The sequence below is a fragment of the Homo sapiens genome, chromosome 21 (genome assembly GCF_000001405.40).
Source record: "Homo sapiens chromosome 21, GRCh38.p14 Primary Assembly".
NCBI classification, from domain to species: Eukaryota; Metazoa; Chordata; class Mammalia; order Primates; family Hominidae; genus Homo; species Homo sapiens.
The window spans coordinates 15,406,288-15,425,974 of NC_000021.9; the positions used below are offsets into that span (position 1 = coordinate 15,406,288).

Genomic DNA, 19,687 nt, shown 5'->3' on the forward strand with positions numbered 1-19,687 from the left:
CAGAAAACTGGAAATCTCCCTTGATATCCTCCTCTTTCCCATTCCTGGTATTTAAGCCATCATCAAGTTCTTTAATTTGAACTTCAAAACTCTCCTGGAATTTATATACTTTCATCATTTCCACAGGCCAGCCATAGGCGAAGGTGGTCACCTAGACTTCTATAGCATTCTGACTTTCTCTAGCCGTATTTTAAATGGATTATCCATACCACTGTCAAAATAACCTTTGAAAAATACAATTCTGGTTGTGTATTTTCTTTGCTTAAAATGCATCAAAGATTCTCACTACTGTTGGGACAAATGTGAAAGTCTTGTCCCAGCCGTATGGCCCAGAAAGTCATGAAGACCTCACTTATCCCCAAAGCCTTCTCTTAAGCCAGTTTCCTATTGGTTTCTTAGAGTGTTGCTTTTGTGTCTCTCTTTGTGTGTGTGCTTGAGTGTACACTAGTGTGTTTCTGTACTTTATAGACTTGCCATAGTAGGGATACAGAATTATTATTTTTCTTTTTACTCTAGATCTGTGTTTTGCCTTACTGGTTTGTGCCTCAATTCCAGAGAAGCCTTAACGTCACTGAGAGTTAACAATCGCTTGACACCAATCTGATTAACAATCACTCCCTGGCGCCCCACCAAGATCCTGCAGGTCAATGATCCAGCAGCACCACAGTCCAGCCAAGCGGCACACAAGTCATTTTAGCTTCCTCTGTCCAGGGTACACCCTCCTAAGAAGCAACCTTTTTGCCTAGAGTGTTGGCTTCAGGAAAGTCTTATTAGTCATTGCAGTTGCAATTCCTGGGCTGGTTCTTGTTCCTGGGTGCTGAGGGCTGTTTCTCAAGTGTAATGGCCTTCAACCTGTTAAGGAATTCCCCTCCCCCCTTTTTAATATCCTGTCATAAGATTAATAGTTCAAACGTGATGCCACATGCAAACAGCCTGATAAGATCTTACTTAATGAAAAGCAAGCAGAGACTTTCTTCTGTGAACATATGTCTTTTGAGAAATTCAAAGCAAATTGGAGATAACATGTAAAATATCTCAGGAAAAGAAAAAGTTCTAAATGAGAACATTTATCATCATCATAGATTCATGTGGGCTGTCAAGACACAATAAAGATTTTAACTCATTTTGTCTCAGGCAGCCTTTTCCACGAGGACTTTCATTAACAATACTCCCTGCTTGACCTGTTTCTGCTCAGCCACATCTCCCACTGTGGAGGACAGGGTGTGAAATATATCTTTTCAAATGGATGTCATTGATTTTAATATACCTTTAATAATATTGCTGCTCAGTGTTTTAATTACTCATACTTATTGGTACTTCCGCCCTCAGGTGATTTTATCTAATAAATCTGATAAGTACAGTAGACTCTGATACTCGGATATTAGATGAATAGCTCATGCTGTGGGGAGACCATTTCCTCTGTGGTGGACTCAGACATGGGTCAAAGGTGTGCGCTAAAGAGCCCAGAGAAGGGGAAGGCTTTTACATGCTCGGCAACAGCCGGACATTCTTCTCTACTCCAGGCAGCCACACCAGGAGAATCCTTGACAGTGCTGTTTGAATGAGTGCTTCATTTTGCAATCTCTGCCCAGTCTACCCTAATCACAATGTAACACTCCTTCTTTGTGCTTTGCTGGCATTTAGTGCTTATCATTAGTATTCAGCTTTTCATATTTTATTCCAGTTAATCACATGTGTATGCATTTTTGTCTACTGTTGTGGGTTGAAGTGAGTTCCCCTAAAGTTCATATTTTGGGATTAACCCCCAGTACCTCAGAATATGACCTTATTTGGAAACAGGGATGTTGCAGATGTAATTAGTTAAGATGAGGTCATACTGGTGTAAGGTGGGCCCTGAATGGGGAAATTTGGACACAGATGCTCATACAGAGAAGACATTGTGAAGACTCAGGGTGCAGGGAGAACACTGTCTGCAAGCCAGAGAGTGCCTGAGGCTACAGGCACTGAGGTTATAGCCTGAGAGTACCAGAAGCTACAAGAGGCCTGCAACAGATTCTCCCTCACAGCTTTTAGAAGAAACCAACCCAACCAACACCTTGATTTTGGTTTCAGACTTTAAACCATCGAAACTATGAGACAATACATTTATGTTGTTCTAAGTCATGCATTTGGTTACGGCAGCCCTAGGAAAAAATAAACCCACTAAAGTATAGCTTCCTGATAGGCAAACATCTCATTTTACTCACCTTTGTGTACCTGAAATAGGGTCAACATAAGGTGGTTGGTTACTCAATAAACGTTTATGGAACTTTATTATATGAGTGGTGAAGAATGAAGATGCAAAAAGTTAATTTGTTGGAGAGTAAGGAAGATGGTAAGATGATGTATTCTTCCATTGCTTGGAAAGATGGGTTAGGAGGAAATGATGACCCAAAGAGTATATATTTTAGCAGGGATGGGCCAAGAAAGGTGGTTCAGATCTAAAGCCATAAGTAGCAAGCATTTATCTGAACATACCCCTATGGGGTGCTGGGAAACATGAGGAAGGCTGGCAAATGGGCTCAAAGACATCATACAAGACTGAGGGTTAGGACCCAGTCTGCATTTACTTAGCCCACGTTACAATGGGACAACAAACTCAAAAACACAGTGGAATGCCTTGAGGAAAAGCTCAGTTCTTGCAAAAAACTGGAATGCAAATTACAAGCGGGACTATGGGACACAGAAAAAATTACTATCAAGCAACTGGAATTCCTCTGAAAGTCTCACATGTTTGAGACAAACAGGGAATACCTAGGAATTGTACCTGAAATTAACAGCCCTGGTGCTAAAGCCTTGGGGGACTGTTTAAGGACAGATCTGTCTCGAGATGGTCTTTAAAGAGTACTAGGTTTTATGTAGGATTATAGTACACTTGGCTACAGTCTGGGATAAAGTAACCTGACACAGTACATCTATTTTTGGTATCAGTTCACATCTAATTGAAGTGAATAACTACAACTGTAAACCAGTGACTGGCTCAAGCAGAAACTGCAAAGTGGTTGCTGTTACTCTGCAAGCAGCTCATGAGGTTCTCTTCTAGGCCTATACATTTGGCCCACATTCCATTTTTTATGTTTGAATTAGTTGCCAAAAATCACCATTTGGAGGAGCATTGTTCAAGGTGTGGCTTCATTCCTCCATGACTCTGTCTTGGCCCATGCTACCTGTTATGTTCCTGATCCTGAATTTAAAGGATGGCAGGGAGCAAAAAGATGAAACCCCTCTAGTTTTCAAAAATTCTTTTAAAAGTAGGATATAGAATGATGTTGGCCTAAATTGTTTTAATTTACATATATCTAAATGCAAATTCTAGGATTGGATTCTAGAGAAAAATCATAGCTGTCCTACTTGTAACAAACATTTGCAGTGTAAAAATGTCTAGATGAAAATAAAGCGTAACTAAGCCAGATGGATGGGGAAGTGATATAACTAATAAGAGTTTAAATAAAGTAATTGGTTTTATGATTTTGTAAGTAGAAAGTGAGAATCATAGAAAACTTAAAAATATATGAAATTATAAAGAAAAAAAAATCACCCACGATTCTACTACCTGAAGACAACTGTTGGGATTTTCTTGTGTCTTTTCTCTATGTGGAATGTCACATTCCTTCTGTTTTTAAATCAAATTAAATTGTAGTCCTCACCAGCTGAGTTGGAGGAAAATCCCAGTAATTATTAACTCCTATCTTGGATGGAGATTGGGTAGGCAGGGTGTCTTTCAAAAGAGTCGTGTGTGGTTTTCTGCAGTTGAATTCTGAAAAAGAGTGTGGTTCTCCATTCCACACTGGCCACCACAGTTCTCCAACTTTTTTAAGCCAGGTGTAGGAACCTTTGATATGGGCTCCCAGTCCATGAGTTTTAATATTCTACCATTTTTCCCCCAAACCTATGAAAGGGCACCACACAATTGCACTATTCCTCCAAAAGTTCTATTACTAGTAGGCTGGCTGTCACCATGTAGAAGGAAACTGAGGGGGAAAAAGAGTCTCAACCACTTCCCAGTGATGGGAGAAGCTCCTCATCTCTCCATTGCTAATTCCCCTGTTTCTGCTTTTTCACTCTAGAAACACTTGCCTCTCAGCCATCCCTCCATATCCCCACTTAGCACAACCTTTTCTAGGAAGCTGGGGTGGAGGTGAGCATGGCATCTGTGGAGTGTCAGGAAACTTCTGCTTTGGACCTTCCCATTATTATTATGCCTATAACAATTTTATTAATATAATTTTATTATAGGCATAATACAATTTTAAAAATAATTAAACCTAAAAAAAGAGATAAAAGAGAGTCCTGGGTTGGGTGGACAGTCACACTGTTACAAGTAGAACAAAGAGATGTGAAAGTCTCCAATGAGATATGGAAACACAGAGAATGGGTGACTTTCTTGAAATAATAACAACAAAAAAAACTCTATATCAGGAGGAACCAAAACCAATTAATTTCTCACAAATTTTTTCTGCTATATATAGTTGATATAATTAGAATCATACCATATATGCAATTGTCTATTTTTTGTTACATTATAACTAAGCATTTTTCAATGTTGTTAAAAACTCTAAGCAAACGTAATTAAGAGCTGCAGAGTACTCAAGCATGAGTATGCATCTATGCACATAACATTAGAAAAGACATCATAATATGGGAGTCAGGAGAAGCAGCTATGGAACCAGACTGTAGAAATTCCAATCCCAGCTCTGCACTTGTAACTAGCATAATCTTGATATGGTAATTAACCTCATCGCGCCTCAGTATCTTCATCTGTAAAATGGGCATAATAACCTGCATTCAGGTTCCCATGAACACTAAATAAGCCAATCTATGTAAAGTCCTGAGAAGAGGGACTTACAGAGTGGACAAAAGGCTGACAATTATTTTAGTATATTGCTGTGCTGTGTGTTTAAGACTAGGTACTCTAGACAGCCACCCCTCTGTTTGAATCTGGGCTCTGCGTTCTATCATCTGTGTGACCTTTGGGAAATTACTCAGCTTCTCTGAGTTTCAGTTTTCTCATTGATATGGTAGTACATTTTTGGGGGTTGTTGTGCAGATTAAATACAATACCAAAAATGAACCCCTCAGCAAAATTCCTGGCAAAAGTCTTCAATATATTATGACTTAATCTTTCCATATCCCCTGTGCCTAACCCATAGCCTTTAAGTGCTCAAAAAATATTAGTTGTATAGAGGTTTACTGATTAAAAAGCTGAGTTGTAATGTACTAACGTGTTTATTAAAAGACCTTGAGAAATACACAAGGATTTAGTAATAGAAAATATCCATGTGGAAGGAGATTGGGGAGAAGTAAGGGGAATTCACTTTTTCTGTCTTCAAAGTTTACAATGAAAAGAAATTTCACATTTTAAAAAAAAAGAGGCAAGAGCAGGGTCCTGCAGATTCCTGAGATGGGTGGACAGTCACACTGCTACAAGTAGAACAAAGGAAAAAGCCGAGTGGAACATGTATTCCAGATCTTTCCAACAGGCTTCAGATCTCACTTTCTTTTGACCTTCCCTTTGAGCTCAAATCAACAATCTACCAAGACAGATGATAAGGCTTGGCTGCGTCCCCACCCAAATCTCATCTTGAATTGTAGTTCTCATAATCGCCACATGTTGCAGGAGGGACCAGGTGGAGATAATTGAATCACAGGGGTGGTTTCTCCCATCCTGTTCTCCCGATAGTGAGTTAGTTCTCATGAGACCTGATGATTTTATAAGGCCTTCCCCCTTTGCTGGGCACTCATTCTTCTCCTTCCTGCCATCATGTGAAGAAGGACGTGTTTGCTTCCCCTTCTGCCATGATTGTAAGTTTACTGAGGCCTACCCAGCCATGCCAAACTGTGAGTTAATTAAACTTCTTTCCTTCATAAATTACCCACTATTGGGTACGTCTTTACTAGCAGTGTGAGAACAGACTAATACAACAGAATTGTGGTGTTTTCCCTGAATGAGTAGTTTTCATATATATATGTGTGTGTGTGTGTGTGTGTGTGTGTATTACCATTGTAATATATCCTATTGTAATACATTATATTAAAATCTTCTCTGTGTTGCAGTGAAGTGGTAAAAAAAGCAGTTTGTGTTTGTATGGGAAAGAATTCGGCACAGTTGGCAAGATCATGAATTTCCCGGGACTTCATATTTCCCTGTGTGCAGATGGGTGTTGCTAACAACCCCACTCACACATGGACCTGGTGAAGAGGTGATTGGTGAGCTTTTCAGTAGACTCTCCTAGGTGGGTTAGGCCACTTCATCCAGCACTTTGGCAGCAGCTATTCACAGATGAGGGCACTGTGCTCAGAGTAAGGCATGATTTATAAAGAAGGGGCTGACCGTTCATTCCACTTGTCAGATCACGGATGGAAAGCTCTGGCCATTGGGTCTGCTCACCTTTCTCCTGCCAGATCCCAGTTCAGATTAGCGAAGCAGTCAGCCTATCTCTTGTGCATTACAGCTTACTTCCTTTTGTGAAGGAACCTGCCATTTGGCTGCAGATATATTCAAATTTGCAGGTCTCAGAGAAAGGAGAAAGCTCCAGGTGCCAAGCTGATAGAAAGATCTGTGTTCTTTGGTGGTGTCTTGTGAGCCTGAGATTTCAGAGAAAATGGTGTAAACTAGCTCAGATGCCACAGTATCAAATCAGAAAGAAAGGAAAAGACTTGGGCCTAAAGGCCTTGTTTTGGGTGGAAAAAAGTCCAGACATCAAGACAACTTTGATTCAAATCCTGGCATTGCCATTTACCAGCGGTTTGACTTTGGCTTTCTTATCCTGGAAGGACTTCAGCTTCCTCATCTATCAAACAGGGATAAAAAATATCTACCTCAGAGAACTTTCAGGGGAAAATAATGGCATAAATTGCTAGCATTTGATAGACATTCAACAATAATAATAACAACTGTAATCACGAGTGGCTTTTATGTACATTCAGAGGATAGGGCCTACCCAGTGCCCACACCTTGGCAACTTGAGGTCTGCTAAATGTCAGCCAACTTGTTGATTTAGTAATAAATTTGAGATGGTGTTTCTTCACAGTATTACTCTTTTCTTTCTTTCTTTCTTTTTTTTTTTTTTTTTGAGACAGGGTCTCACTCTGTCACCCAGGCTGGAGTGCAGTGGTGCAATTTTGGCTCACTGCAACCTCTACATAACAGGCTCAAGCGATTCTCCTACCTCAGCCTCCCAAGTAGCTAGGACCACAGGCACACACCACCACACCTGGCTAATTTTTGGATTTTTTGTAGAGATGGAGGTTTCACCATGTTGCATAGGCTGTCCTTGTACTCCCGAGCTCTAGTGATCCTCCCACCTCGGCCTCCCAAAGTGCTGGGATTACAGGTGGGAGCCATCAATTTTGTCTTCTACATTTTAATAGAAGGCATTTATGAATAGCTTTCTTATCAATTTAAACATTTTGAGTAGGTCAACCCCAAGGAGCTATTACTCCATACCCTTTAGGATGGCTATAATCAAAATAGCAGAAAACGACAAGTGTTGGTGAGGGTGTAGAGAAATTGGAACCCTCGTATATTGCTGGTAGAAATGTAAAAGGGGGTAGCTGTCATGGAAAATGGTTTGGAAGTTCCTCAGAAAGCTACATATGGAATTACCACATGACTCAGCAAGTCACTTCTACGTAAATAACCAAAATAATTGAAAACAGAGGCTCAAACAGGTACTCACATGCTAGTGTGTATTGAAGTACTATTCCCAACAGTCAAAAGGTGGGAACAACCCTAATGTCCATCTACAGATGAATAGATAAAATGTTATATACATATGATAAAATATTATTTAGCCATAAAAAGGAATAAAATTTTGATACATGCTACAACATGGATGATACTTGAAGACATTATGCTAAATGAAATTAGTCAGACACAAAGTGACAACTATTGTATGATTCCACTGATATGAAATCTCTAGAGTAGGCAGATTCATAGAAACAGAAAGTAGATCAGAGGTTACCAGGGGATGAGGAGAGTGGAGAACAGAAAGTTATTGCTTAATGAATACAGAGTTTCTGTTTAGGTTGATGAAAATTTTTGGAAATCGAAAGTTGTGAGGGTTGCACAACATTGTGAATGTAATTAATGCCACTTAATTGTCAACTTAAAAGTAGTTACAGTGGCAAATTTTGTTATATATGTTTTACCACAATAAAATGCTTTACAAAGTAAATAAATATATGACCTCTTATTTTTAAAATGTTTTGAATAGTTACACATTCACATAGCTCAAAAATCAAAGCAGTATACATTGATAATTCTTACTCTTCTCTCCAATCTCATCAGTTTTGTTCCTTTCATCAGTTCCCACAGGTAACCCCTGTTATTAGTTTTTAATTTATATTTTAAGTATATCTTTATGCAAATAGAAAGCAAGACTAAATACAAATTTTTTGCCTCTTTCATGTATACATATATTAACACATATGTACTGTTCTATGTCTTTGTTTTTCCATTTAAAGATACATCCTAGAGATATTTCCAGTATATAAAGAGCTGCCGCTTTCTTTTGTACTACTGTATAATAGTCAATTGTGTGGATATACCATGGTTAATTTAACCAGTCCCTTAGTGAAGAAGTTTAAGTTGTTTTGAATTTTGATATTTACAGAACTCTGCAAGAAATAATTTTATATATTTGTCATTCATATATGCAGGGTTTTTTTTATAGGATCAAGTCCTAAGATTGGAATTGCTGAAATCCAAGAACAATTGCATTTGTAAGTTTGATAGCTATTCCTAGTGCTCCTCCACAAGTCTTGAATCACCAGCAATGACATAACAAAATCTTCTTGTGTTAAAATTGTTTGGCCAATATCATTAGTAAAAAAATGACACCTGAGGATCTTTTCTATTTATATTGCCCTTATGAGTACAGCTTAGCATCTTTTCATATACTTAGAGATCACTTAGTTTTCTATTGATCTACAAGTTTTCCAAATCCTAAGGAATGAATGTCAATGAAAGTGTTTGAGACTGGGACAGGTGGGAGGGAGATAACTGGGGGATTGGAGTCTGTCTCATTCTCCCCATTCTTATTCCCATGAAACACAATCTAGGTAGTTGTGTCTTCCTCAGGCAAAAGCTGCTTCTTAATATCCAGGAAAAGCCTGCTTTCTGCTGGAACTCAGTGAGGTTTTAGGGAGAAGGCAGTCTGCCTTCTGTGTGCAGAGGTTCACAATTAGTAAGAAAAGTGAACTGTGAGTCAATAAGCTTAATAAAATCACTTTGTCTAATGTCCTACCAACATTTTCATGCAATTTCCAAAGAGCCACCTGTGAAAATCTTCTCAAGAAAGATGATCACCTGAGCTTGCAGATTTCATACTATATAGCTCTACAGAGTCTTGGGAGAAACCACAAAGCCATTCAATCATCCCCTTTGAGATGGGAATAAATAACAACAATGCCACATAAATAGCGTCAGTTGGCTGTGGGGGCAAGCTGTCATTTCCAGGAGAGGGATGTGGTTTTCTACCCAAGGGTGCAGCATATGATCATATTAAAAAATTCCAAAGATAGCAGAATTCAAATGTGTCATTTTTGTCATTAAGCTGCCTGCAGGTGTTCCATTTAGATCAGATGACACATTTGCAAAAACCAGAAGGAAAAGAGTGGGCTTTTGCTTAATTCATTGAATCCCAGAAGAAAATGAACACTTTTTTTTTCCCATGACAAACTGGAATTTGCCTCAGATGAGCTTGACATATTGCCAGCCTGCGGTCTGACTTTGTCTGAGAACATCACTGCACTCCTCCAAAGTTGCCAGGATCAGAGGCCAAAAGGAAAAAGAATGGGGCTTTTCTAAGGCTGCTGGATGATATCTTCCCCACAATCCATCTTGATGTGTCACTGCAAGTGTCCAGGGGACAAGGGTCAGAGAGAAAAACAAAAAGGGAGGCATTCTTGGGCCCAGAAATGACTTCTGATAAGAGGAAATAAGCAAGGGACATGATAGATTCAGGACACCTATAACCAACCTGAGGTGGACCAGAATTTCTAAGTTTTTAACCAAGAAATATTGATTTATGTATATTATGCTTTATGGCACTTTAGAGCAATTTATAACACTTACATTAAGGAATGGATGGGCCGGGAGAAAAGCCAATATGGGCATGAAAAAAGATGAAGTGCTGTCAGGAATAGTGACTTTCAAGTATCAGGTGCAATTTCTTGCTTTTGCATTTTATCTGAACTATTTTAACATTAAACAAGAAAATGATTAGTGATTTTAAGTTACACAAACAAAACAAAATGAGATAAATTGAACAGACCTAAAGGAATTCTTAAAACACACACACGCACACACACTCTCTCAACTGTTAAAGTCAGAAAACAAAAATAACACCCTTCTATATACACTTATTTTAAAAATGCATTTAAGTTGTGATATTATGTAAAATGAGGGGACCAAAGAGTATGGTATAAAATGTGTTTTTATTTCAAATATGAGTTGTGTTAATAAAAACAAACAAATGCAGCAAAATACTGTGGTTCTTTGCCAAGACAGTCACTTTTCTTTCCTAATACATTTTGATGAATCAGGAAAGACCTCAGAGACGAGAGACACTTTCTTTGTACATGTCCCACAAGCACAGTTCCAGGATTTTGGCACTAAGTAAACAAATAAAAATATGCAACAGACATAAGAGATAATAGTAATGTGTATTGAGAAATATAATTTTATATAGTTGTTCCTTTTTCCCAAGATTCTTTATTAATATCACCAATAGTTATTACTAGAAAACACTTTCAGAGCTAGAAAGTTGCCAGAAACATTTCTAATTGACTACTGTTATAATTAATATTTTGAAATGCTGAGACATTTGCTAGGGTGGACAGCTCCTTCAAAACCCGGCCGTTATCTGACGAAAGAGCCTAGGCTCAAATAAGAATTAAACACAAGTTGGAAGTAAGGTGAGGCACAGTGGAATTTTTTTAGGATGGATATAGTTTTCAATAACCTTAATTTGGAATTTTTCCTTTGGGATAATGACTTTGAGTCTATAGAAATATTGTATGCATTATAGACGAATTGATTTTTTAACTAAATTCTGAAAGGCTTAAGTAAAATGATTTGATGATCAAGTCAGATGCATTTCTAAGGAAGTGAGGATCACATTAGACAGAAAGTTTGGGTTTGGTGTATAATAATTGAAATAAAGACTCTGATAAGATGTATCAATGTCTTGTGTTTAATGATCTCAGGAAGTAGGAATGATATTAGCAGGCAATGTAACACTAGCATAGAGCACTGAAGACAAGATTAAATCTGACTTCATGTAGGTGAACAAAAAACATATGGAAAGCAAAAAGCTGAGTACAAGGATAAAGGAAAGAATATGAAGGAATAAACCTCAATAGAAATTGGTTTAATTTAATTTGGGAAAAATCTGCTTCATAATAGGGAAATAAGTGGGACCAAGGAAGAATATATTTCCCAATCATCTGACATCATGATCTTTCTCAGCCTAATATCTATGCTGAATTCATGTATTGATTTAGATCATACAATTTAGGCTGACCTTCAAAGTTTGGTCCTAATCTAATCCTCCAGTGATAGTTCCCCAAACTCCCCATCATTCCAAGCAATTCATTCTATGTATCCTCAAAACACACAAGGGACCTCCACATATAGTGGTATGTATTGATTGGCTGAGTATTAGCTGATACTTGAACACTTCTTCCAGCATCAGCTTCCCACTTCCTCAGACCCTGGATCCTAGCACTCTATCACATTGTTTTAAGATCCCCTTTGTATTCAGGCAACCCTCTTGGGTGGAGGCTCTTTCAGGATGGCTCAAGAACAGCTTCATTTGCCCCATGGGGAAACTGAGCCTGTTATTGTAAGCGTAGCTCCCTTTCTAGGACTTGTGTCATCTTGCTGCACCATGAGGAAGGCAGCTTTAGTGACTTCTGTCACCTTTAAATTTCTCAAACTTGTGTCTGGCCCCATTCTTTATTTCTATGCATTTCCCTGGGCATAAGAACACAAGTCGAACTCTCTCTTCAAAGCTTAGACTTGGTTGGAGGAGGTGGGAGAATGGTGTTCAGCAACTATATATGGCAGAGGCTATGGGGTTATCCCTTTCTCCGCAACAATTCTCTTTTCCTGGTTGGCTCCCTATGCTGGCAGAACCAGTTTCACTCCCATAACATGTGCTTTGCAGGGAGTCTGCTCCTTCAGCTTACTTGGGGATGTGAAAGTCACCATTTACTCTCAGCCTTTGATGCCTCAGACAAAATTGAGTTTAATGTTATTTGAACATATTATTTTTATATAATATTAGAAGTAGAAAGACTCTTTGGAGTTCTCTAATGCATCTCTTTCCAAAAAAAAAATTTTATTATGTTAGTCCTTCAACCTTGACTTAAGTATATTAATTGCAGTTGAGTTCATCACTTTGGAGATAGCCAGCTTTAGCAAAATACCGCACATGGCTAGATTTTCCTTATATTAAGATACCATTTTTTGCTATAATTTTGCCTTATCTATTTTAGTTCTGTCCTCAAGAGCAAACACAGAATTTTTGGCATAAGATTGTCTCAGAACATACTGCTGTGTAAAGGTGGCTGAGTAGTCAGCTGGGAGAAAATGGCAGGAATGGGAAGAAGTGACTTTAACTGAATCCAGGGGAAGATAATGGCCAAGAATCAGAATCAGATGCAAACACAGATATGGCAAAGACTACCCATTTGCAAGCAGGAATTAGGGATGAAAGGAAGATTAATTTTTTGTGAGTATGTTTGTATGTATTAATGGACTGCTTAGTTCAGTGTCAATAACATGTGAATGTAGCTGTGGATATAGAGATAGGAGGCCATAGTAGCAGCACATCTAATGGAAGTCTTCAAAAATGAGTTAGGTTGACTTACAGCATTATGTACTTGGGTTGGAGAGGGGATACACATAGCTCAAAAAGTTAAAAACAAATCAGTTAAAATATTTTATATGGCAATGTTTCTTTAGGCATTTAATGAATAATCACATCTTCCTCTAACAAAAATTAAAAAAGGAGCTTAAGGGGGCTGACCTGGACATAATGGTGGGGTGTGAGTGACAGTCAGCATTCTGGAAAGCCAAAACATTTAGGGAAACAGCCCTGCTGTGATCCCAAGAGTATAGCAGGCGGTTGAGGTTAAAAACCAATTAATGAGGTTCAAATGGAGTGCTAAATAGCAAGAGGATTTAAAGCCAAATTTGGGGAGCTGGAACAGCCAGAAGATTGAGGAGCTGGAAATAACAGGTCAGGTGGCAAAGCCTGAGAGTGTTAGGCAAATATTTGAGATGAGTTCGTTATTTATAATTTGATTCCATGCTCTTTGCACCATGATGTGTGAGTGAACCAGTTAGATTTAAAGGGCTGTGGATGGAGCTCAGTGATGAACTGGCTTCACTGGGTCATTTCATTCACCTGTGGCTTGAAGTTATAGGGACAGAAAATGTGTAAAATTGGAGGGAGTAACCCCATTGTCCTTGATATATATGATGCTTTCCTGGTTGGTTGCTCCTACTTGGTGAAGACATAAAATGCCTTGAAACCTGATCTAATCCCTCAAAGTCTGAATTTCTAGGTCTGCTTCAGCTCTCGTAAGAAGCAGCAGTCTAGGTGGCCAAAAGTAGTCTTGATCATTAAAAGTCCAGCTCTAACATTAGTCAACTGACTTTCCCCAGTATTATTTCCTGAAGACATCAATCCTGGAAAGGGATTCCCTACTTCCTTTAAAATGAGAAGCCTTTGTTTATGTAAGGTAGAGTACACTGGCACCACAGTAAATATCAACCCAGTTTTTAAATGCCAGAAGTTTACAGATGTGACTGGGACTGGGGAAGCACTTCCCTTTCCCAAGGAGATTGTTTCTATCATCAAGGTAGAAAAATGAAGAACAAGTTAGGAGTAATCAACAGTGGACCCCAAAAATTACTGCATATTTCTAATCATCTTCAGGGACATTTCACCAATATTTAGTCCAGTATTATGCCCTTGTGTTGGCAGGACAAAATATGGCCTAGGAATTCCATTCAGGTTCTTAAACACACATTTCTTAGGACTGGGTCTGGGGTGATGCTCTTGCTTGTGTCTGAGGTTCTTGTAAGGCTAGATTCATTAAACAGATCAGGATTTTTGTCTAGACAAGTGATGATGAGCCCTTGCTCTAAGGCACCTTGCAGGAGGAAGGACACCAGCCTAATGGCATTCAGAGTTGTTAAGGGATGTCTGGGTGTCTGCCTGCCTTCCATCTGATGCCCTTTCAGATCCAGACAAGGTTGTAGGTGCCCCGAATACCCAATAATTCATTCACCAGAGAAGCAAGAAGAGGCCATAGCACCTGGATAATGAGTCTTGCTTAGCTTGGTCTAAGGGAATGGGGAAGATAGGAAGAAGAAAAGTTCTCCTTCAGGAAGGTAATGATTTTTGTGGGGAAATCGTAACCAGTACCATGTGGCCCAGGCAGGGTCCAAAGATGGTTAGTCTGAGTGTGGCAGTCTGGGCTCAGGTCACTGAGGGAGGATGGCTGCTTTGAAGCAGTGGGGCTTGTGTGTAACCGGTGCATAGATGGCTGATGGCAGAGGTGAGGAATGACTTTGGGGTGAGCAGAGAGAAAGCATCTGAAAGGTGGAGGAGCATCCCACCAGTTTCAAACAGTGGGGGTCTAGCACACGACTGTAGCTGCCAAGGAGGCTGAAAGTGATAGCGAGAGTTCTGCATGAGCCCCTCAGTACAGAAGAGAACTGACGAAGGAACCGGGACTCCAGCAGCAACACTGCTGGAGGTCACAGCAACCAGAGAGGACAGTGGCCTTTTACCATCGGGAGTTATCTCAGTTCTTTTTTTTTTTTTTTTTCTGTATATAAACTTCCATGCTATTAGCAGGTGGATATGTTTCATTAAAAAAAAAATAGTGCTTAACCTAAGCTTATTAGTTATCTGTCTTGTTGGAACACTTAGTTTATATACAGGATTTTTTCCATGCCTCCCTCAATAGTCCTACTTGCTTCTCTGTTTTCTCACCTTTGTACTCGGAGATTCATTTTAGGCAAGATTTCAGTTTGCGTGAAAGAATGCCAATCTCTGTCTTCTTCGCCAAGGGAAGCCTGGCCAAATTGCTATCAGTTTTGAAAAACCAAAGATAAATGTATGTGTCTTAAAGGTCTAATTGTATCATTTCCCTCTTTATACTTTGATTACTTTGACAGATGGGACCTTCACAATATATTCATTGTTCAGCTGGAAACCCTGGGAAGCAGTAATCTGAGCTCCTTGTCCTGAGGCCACTTGGTGGCCATCTCCATCCAATGTTGTCTGTGGACCCCAACAGAGGGGTAGGTAAAGAGTTATTAAGTCACTTGAAATTGCTTTTCGTGCACTGAAAAGTGGTTGGGCCATTTCAGGCCATAGCAGTGTGGCAGAATGCCCAACTGCCTACGTCAAGCAGTGTTTATAAATTAGAAATTACCAGCCATTTGGTTCTTTGCTGATCAGTCAGAGTCCCTGGAAGACTGTGCCGACGTGCCTGGGGCAGAGTTGTTACTGGACCAAACAAAGCATAGCTCTTGGTTAATCAGTCATGATTTGTCTACCTGGCGGTGTAGATTGGAATATTTGGAAGAGATTTGGAAATATACATCTTTTCAATTGCAGTGCTATGTGGCTAATTATTCCAGCTAAAAGCAACAACTAAAACGGTTTTTTGTTAGTTTTCTTGCCTAGCATAGAAAACTGGCTATAAAATTCAATTCAGTATAATTTGCTCTAGATGTATTTCACTCAACTAGTTAACAAAGGTTTATTAACAGGAGGTACCGTGTGTCACACATGAAGCATGATAAGACTAGTCCTCCCACACCATTTTTTTCTTGAGTCACTACATGAAGCTATATTAGTCATTTAATATATTAAAGGATTCACTTCACAACTCTAGGAGGAAGGTATGGCTAATGACCCCATTTTGCAGCTGAACAAACTGAATTTCAGAGAATTAAGCAAGTTTCCTAAGGGCCCCACAGCTAGAAAACCATGGAGCTGTAATCATGAATGCAGCAGACTGAAATCATTCTTGCCTTTTAGTTGGTGACCTCAACCACCCCAGAATCTCCTTAGAGTTTCTGATAATCTCCTGACCAGGTCCAGGTGATCCCTACAATGCTCATCTTTTCCTTTCTGGGCAGCCTGGAGCAATTCTCAGCCTGTAGTAATTATTGCTGACCAGCTGACTCCTATCCCCAGACCAGCCCAGCAACCCCCTGCCAGTCCCCCTCAAAAGCCATAGTCCAGGCTGAGGTCAGGCCACCTTTCTTAGTTCCTGTCTCTTGAAAATCAGTCCTGCCATGACTTGGCTGCCCACTTCACAGAACGATGGCAGGCCACGATCATTGCTTTAGGGTACTTGGAGACTGGGAAGAATAAAATGAGAGGAGAGAAAATGTTTGGACCAAAGGAAAAATGGATAGAACGAAACAGTAAAATAGACTTGAAATTAAATGCACCCAATTGAACATATATGCTTATCTCCCAAAATCCCCCAAATGGTAAGAACATAGAGACAAAGAGCAGACAAAACAGCAGATGAGTCATCACCAAATGGTAACTCACACAGATTTGAACTTTCTGGGAATGTACACGCCTAATGAAAAGAAGCCAAAAACAGACCACAAAACCTTGAAAACACTCAGGGACTAGAAGCACCAGGTAGCTCAGAAAGAGGAGTGTGGGAGGCTGCTGACCCAGATGAATGGAATGAAACATTGTAGGGAACAGTTATATCCTCAGATGCCTTCTCTCATCCCACAAAGCTGAGCAGCTGTCCGTCCTTGACTCTGGGAGAAAGGCGTTATCATCAAGATTTCCATAAGTGGACAGAAGACACACTGACCATGAAAGGAAGGCCAGCACTGGGTGATCATTTTCATTCTAAATGGTGAGACATCTGATCCACTCTTTCTCTTTCCTTCCCCTGGAAGATTCAGATTGAAGGATGCTAGCTTTATATCCTGACTGGCAGGAGAATGGAGGACCAACTTTAGCAGAATTTATTAGTCCTAGAGAAAACAGTTGCAGACAACAAGGCTGGTCTCTCGTAGCTTACTACCAGTTCTCAAAGCCATACTCTGAAGTGGAGTAACATCCAATTATTTGAGACATGCGGCTATTATTAAATAAAAAATCCAAAACAGAAAAAAATGAACTTACATGAAACAGGATAAATGAAAAAATAAACTTTAAAACTTTAATTAATTTAATCAGATAGTTAAGAAGTTGCATTTTTTAAACAACAGAAGATAATTTAGGACATCTCTTGAGTAGGAGGATAACTATTCAAAAGAAACTGAAATTGAAAATAAGTGAGAAAAGGTAAGAAAATTAGAGAGTCAAATCTGATATCCAACAGACAGATCGTAGGAGCACTATAAATTGAGAAGATAGAAAATGAAGGGTAGGAAATAGGAAATAATAAAAGAAAATTTTATAGCACTCCAGACACGAGTTTTAAGATAGTTCTTGCATATAGCTAGAGCTTGATAAATGTCTGCAGCACAAATTCTAAAGAGTTTACTTGCAGGCATTGCAGTGAATGAAAAGAATCCTCAGTGGGAAAGCCTGAGACAATGAGAGTACCTTAAAAGCTTGCAGAGAAAGATTAGCATTAAAATGGCTTCGGAATTACTGATAGCCTCCCTGGAAGCTAGAATTCAGTGGAGAAAACCTGTGAAATTTGAGGGAACATAATTAACAACACAAAATCCTATATCAATCCAAATTATAAATCAATTATGTGGGTAAAATAAAGACATCTTTAGACATGCAGAAAAATTTCAAAACAATCATCCATCCCTCCGCCTATTCCCAGGCATGCTGACTTTCCTGGGAGGATACTGATGTATGTGTTCCCAAAATCAAAGCCTCCAAATCAAAAAAGACAAATGATTCAGGAACTGGGACCCAACAGGGAAGAAAAGCTAAGGGAATTCCCAGGATGAAGATGAAGGAAAGTCCCAGGAAAATAACTACACTGAGGCCAGCAGAGCAATCAGTTCAGATCAGAATAGAAACCAGATGGTTCCAGGAGGGGTATCACCAAGAAAACCATAAAACCAGTCTGAATGACTACATTTATAAGGCTTACAGTTCAGTCAGACAGATTATAGACACATTAATTATAGACACAAGCAAATAAATGAGGCAATTATTAAATCCAGGAAAAATAAAAAGTTATACAAGAAAAGAAATATTAGCATGTTTTCTACAAGACTTGATATAAACAAAAATCTAACTTAAACATAACCACGCAGACACCAAATCTTGACTTTAAGATGTACCAAGGAACTACCATGGAAGGATAAAGTATGTGTGTTAGCATTGGCGTAAGACAGCTAAATCCTAGTCTTTGTTAGAAGGAAGTAAAAAGACAACTTACAAAATTGAAAAAGCTCTAAAAGCAATAGATGCATTTTATTTGGAAACATGAAGTTAAAGGGCAGAAGAGACAAGCAAGCAAAGCAATAAAAAATGACCAATCTGAGGCACAGGACTAGTGGGTAAGAAGTTTGGAGTAAGGCACTATTCTTTTTACTTAAAGGAGTTGTGTCACTTGGCTTTCTAAACAAGGCCCATAATTGGAAATAAAAGACAAGGAAGAAAGACAAAAAAGAAAAAAAGAACAAGAGAGGAAGAGGCAGGGACGGAGAGAGAAAGGTGAAGGAATGGAAAGGGAGGGAAGGAATATAACATATCACTAGAAAAGTATTCAGTGAACTGGTACTGGATGCTTTGCGTTCTCAGTGGATGAAGGAACGGCTATGCCAGGACAATCAGGGCAGGATCTTATAAAGGAGGTGAAACTGAAAGGACAGGTATGGTTTAGACAAGTGGTGAGGACTGTGGAGGGGAGGGTTTATGTAACCCAAAGGCACCATATGAAGTAGTCACTAAGGTAGGTTTACAGGCAGTGTGTTTAAGGCCTCTAGGAGTCCATAGAATGATACCTTTGCTGGGGCCCAGTCCTCCAAAGTATGGCACTGCAGCATGCTGAGCACTTTGAACTACAGGAAATTAAAAGGCCTTAGAAGCAGACTCAGAAACAGGGACTTTCTGATCTTCTCGTTTCTCCTCCTCACCAAGGACAGATAGATAGAAAGTATATCTATTACAGAGAGAGCTTCTCTCTGGAAGTTCTCTAGTATGGCTGTAGAAACTTCTTCCAAAAGAAACGCAATTATCTTAAAACCCCCTCCCTAGGAATCTCATCAAATAAGCAAAGAAGATTAAGCGCAGAGAAAAGACAATGCTGTCACCATGCCCATGCCAAACACTTTTCATCTATTCTTCTGAGACTAGCTCTGAGAAGTTACCTGGGAGATTTTACCTATGTAAGAAGACAACCTTTGCTCACTGTGGAGTTCTGTCCCTCACTTTTCTGCAATTTGTTGGAACATCCTTCAGAGATCAGAGAAGCTTTGTTCTAGGACATTGGCTGTTCTTGGGACTCATTCAATCTCCCTGAAAGTCACTTACTACCCCTTAAAATTACCTACATTTCTCATTTCTCTCTTCCCTATGAAGAGAGTATTTAAGCTTCAACCACCTTGCCCTTCTTTGAGTTTCATATTTTGTATGGTTCCCGTAAACACTTACATGTTAATAAATTTGTGTGCTTTTCCTCTTGTAAATCCATTGTCAGTTTA

General features: G+C 39.3%; 2 long non-coding RNA genes across 6 annotated transcripts in view; one reads left to right on the forward strand and one right to left on the reverse strand.

Moving 5' to 3' along the window:
* Positions 1 to 19,687, reverse strand: part of LOC101927745 (uncharacterized) — a 75,707-nt gene that overhangs the window by 37,338 nt on the left and 18,682 nt on the right. The gene's annotated exons all lie outside the window — the stretch shown is intronic.
* LOC124905055 (uncharacterized) lies at positions 16,697 to 19,672 on the forward strand. Its single transcript, XR_007067934.1, has 2 exons — positions 16,697 to 16,923; positions 19,242 to 19,672. It is a non-coding gene; the product is annotated as an uncharacterized LOC124905055 (long non-coding RNA).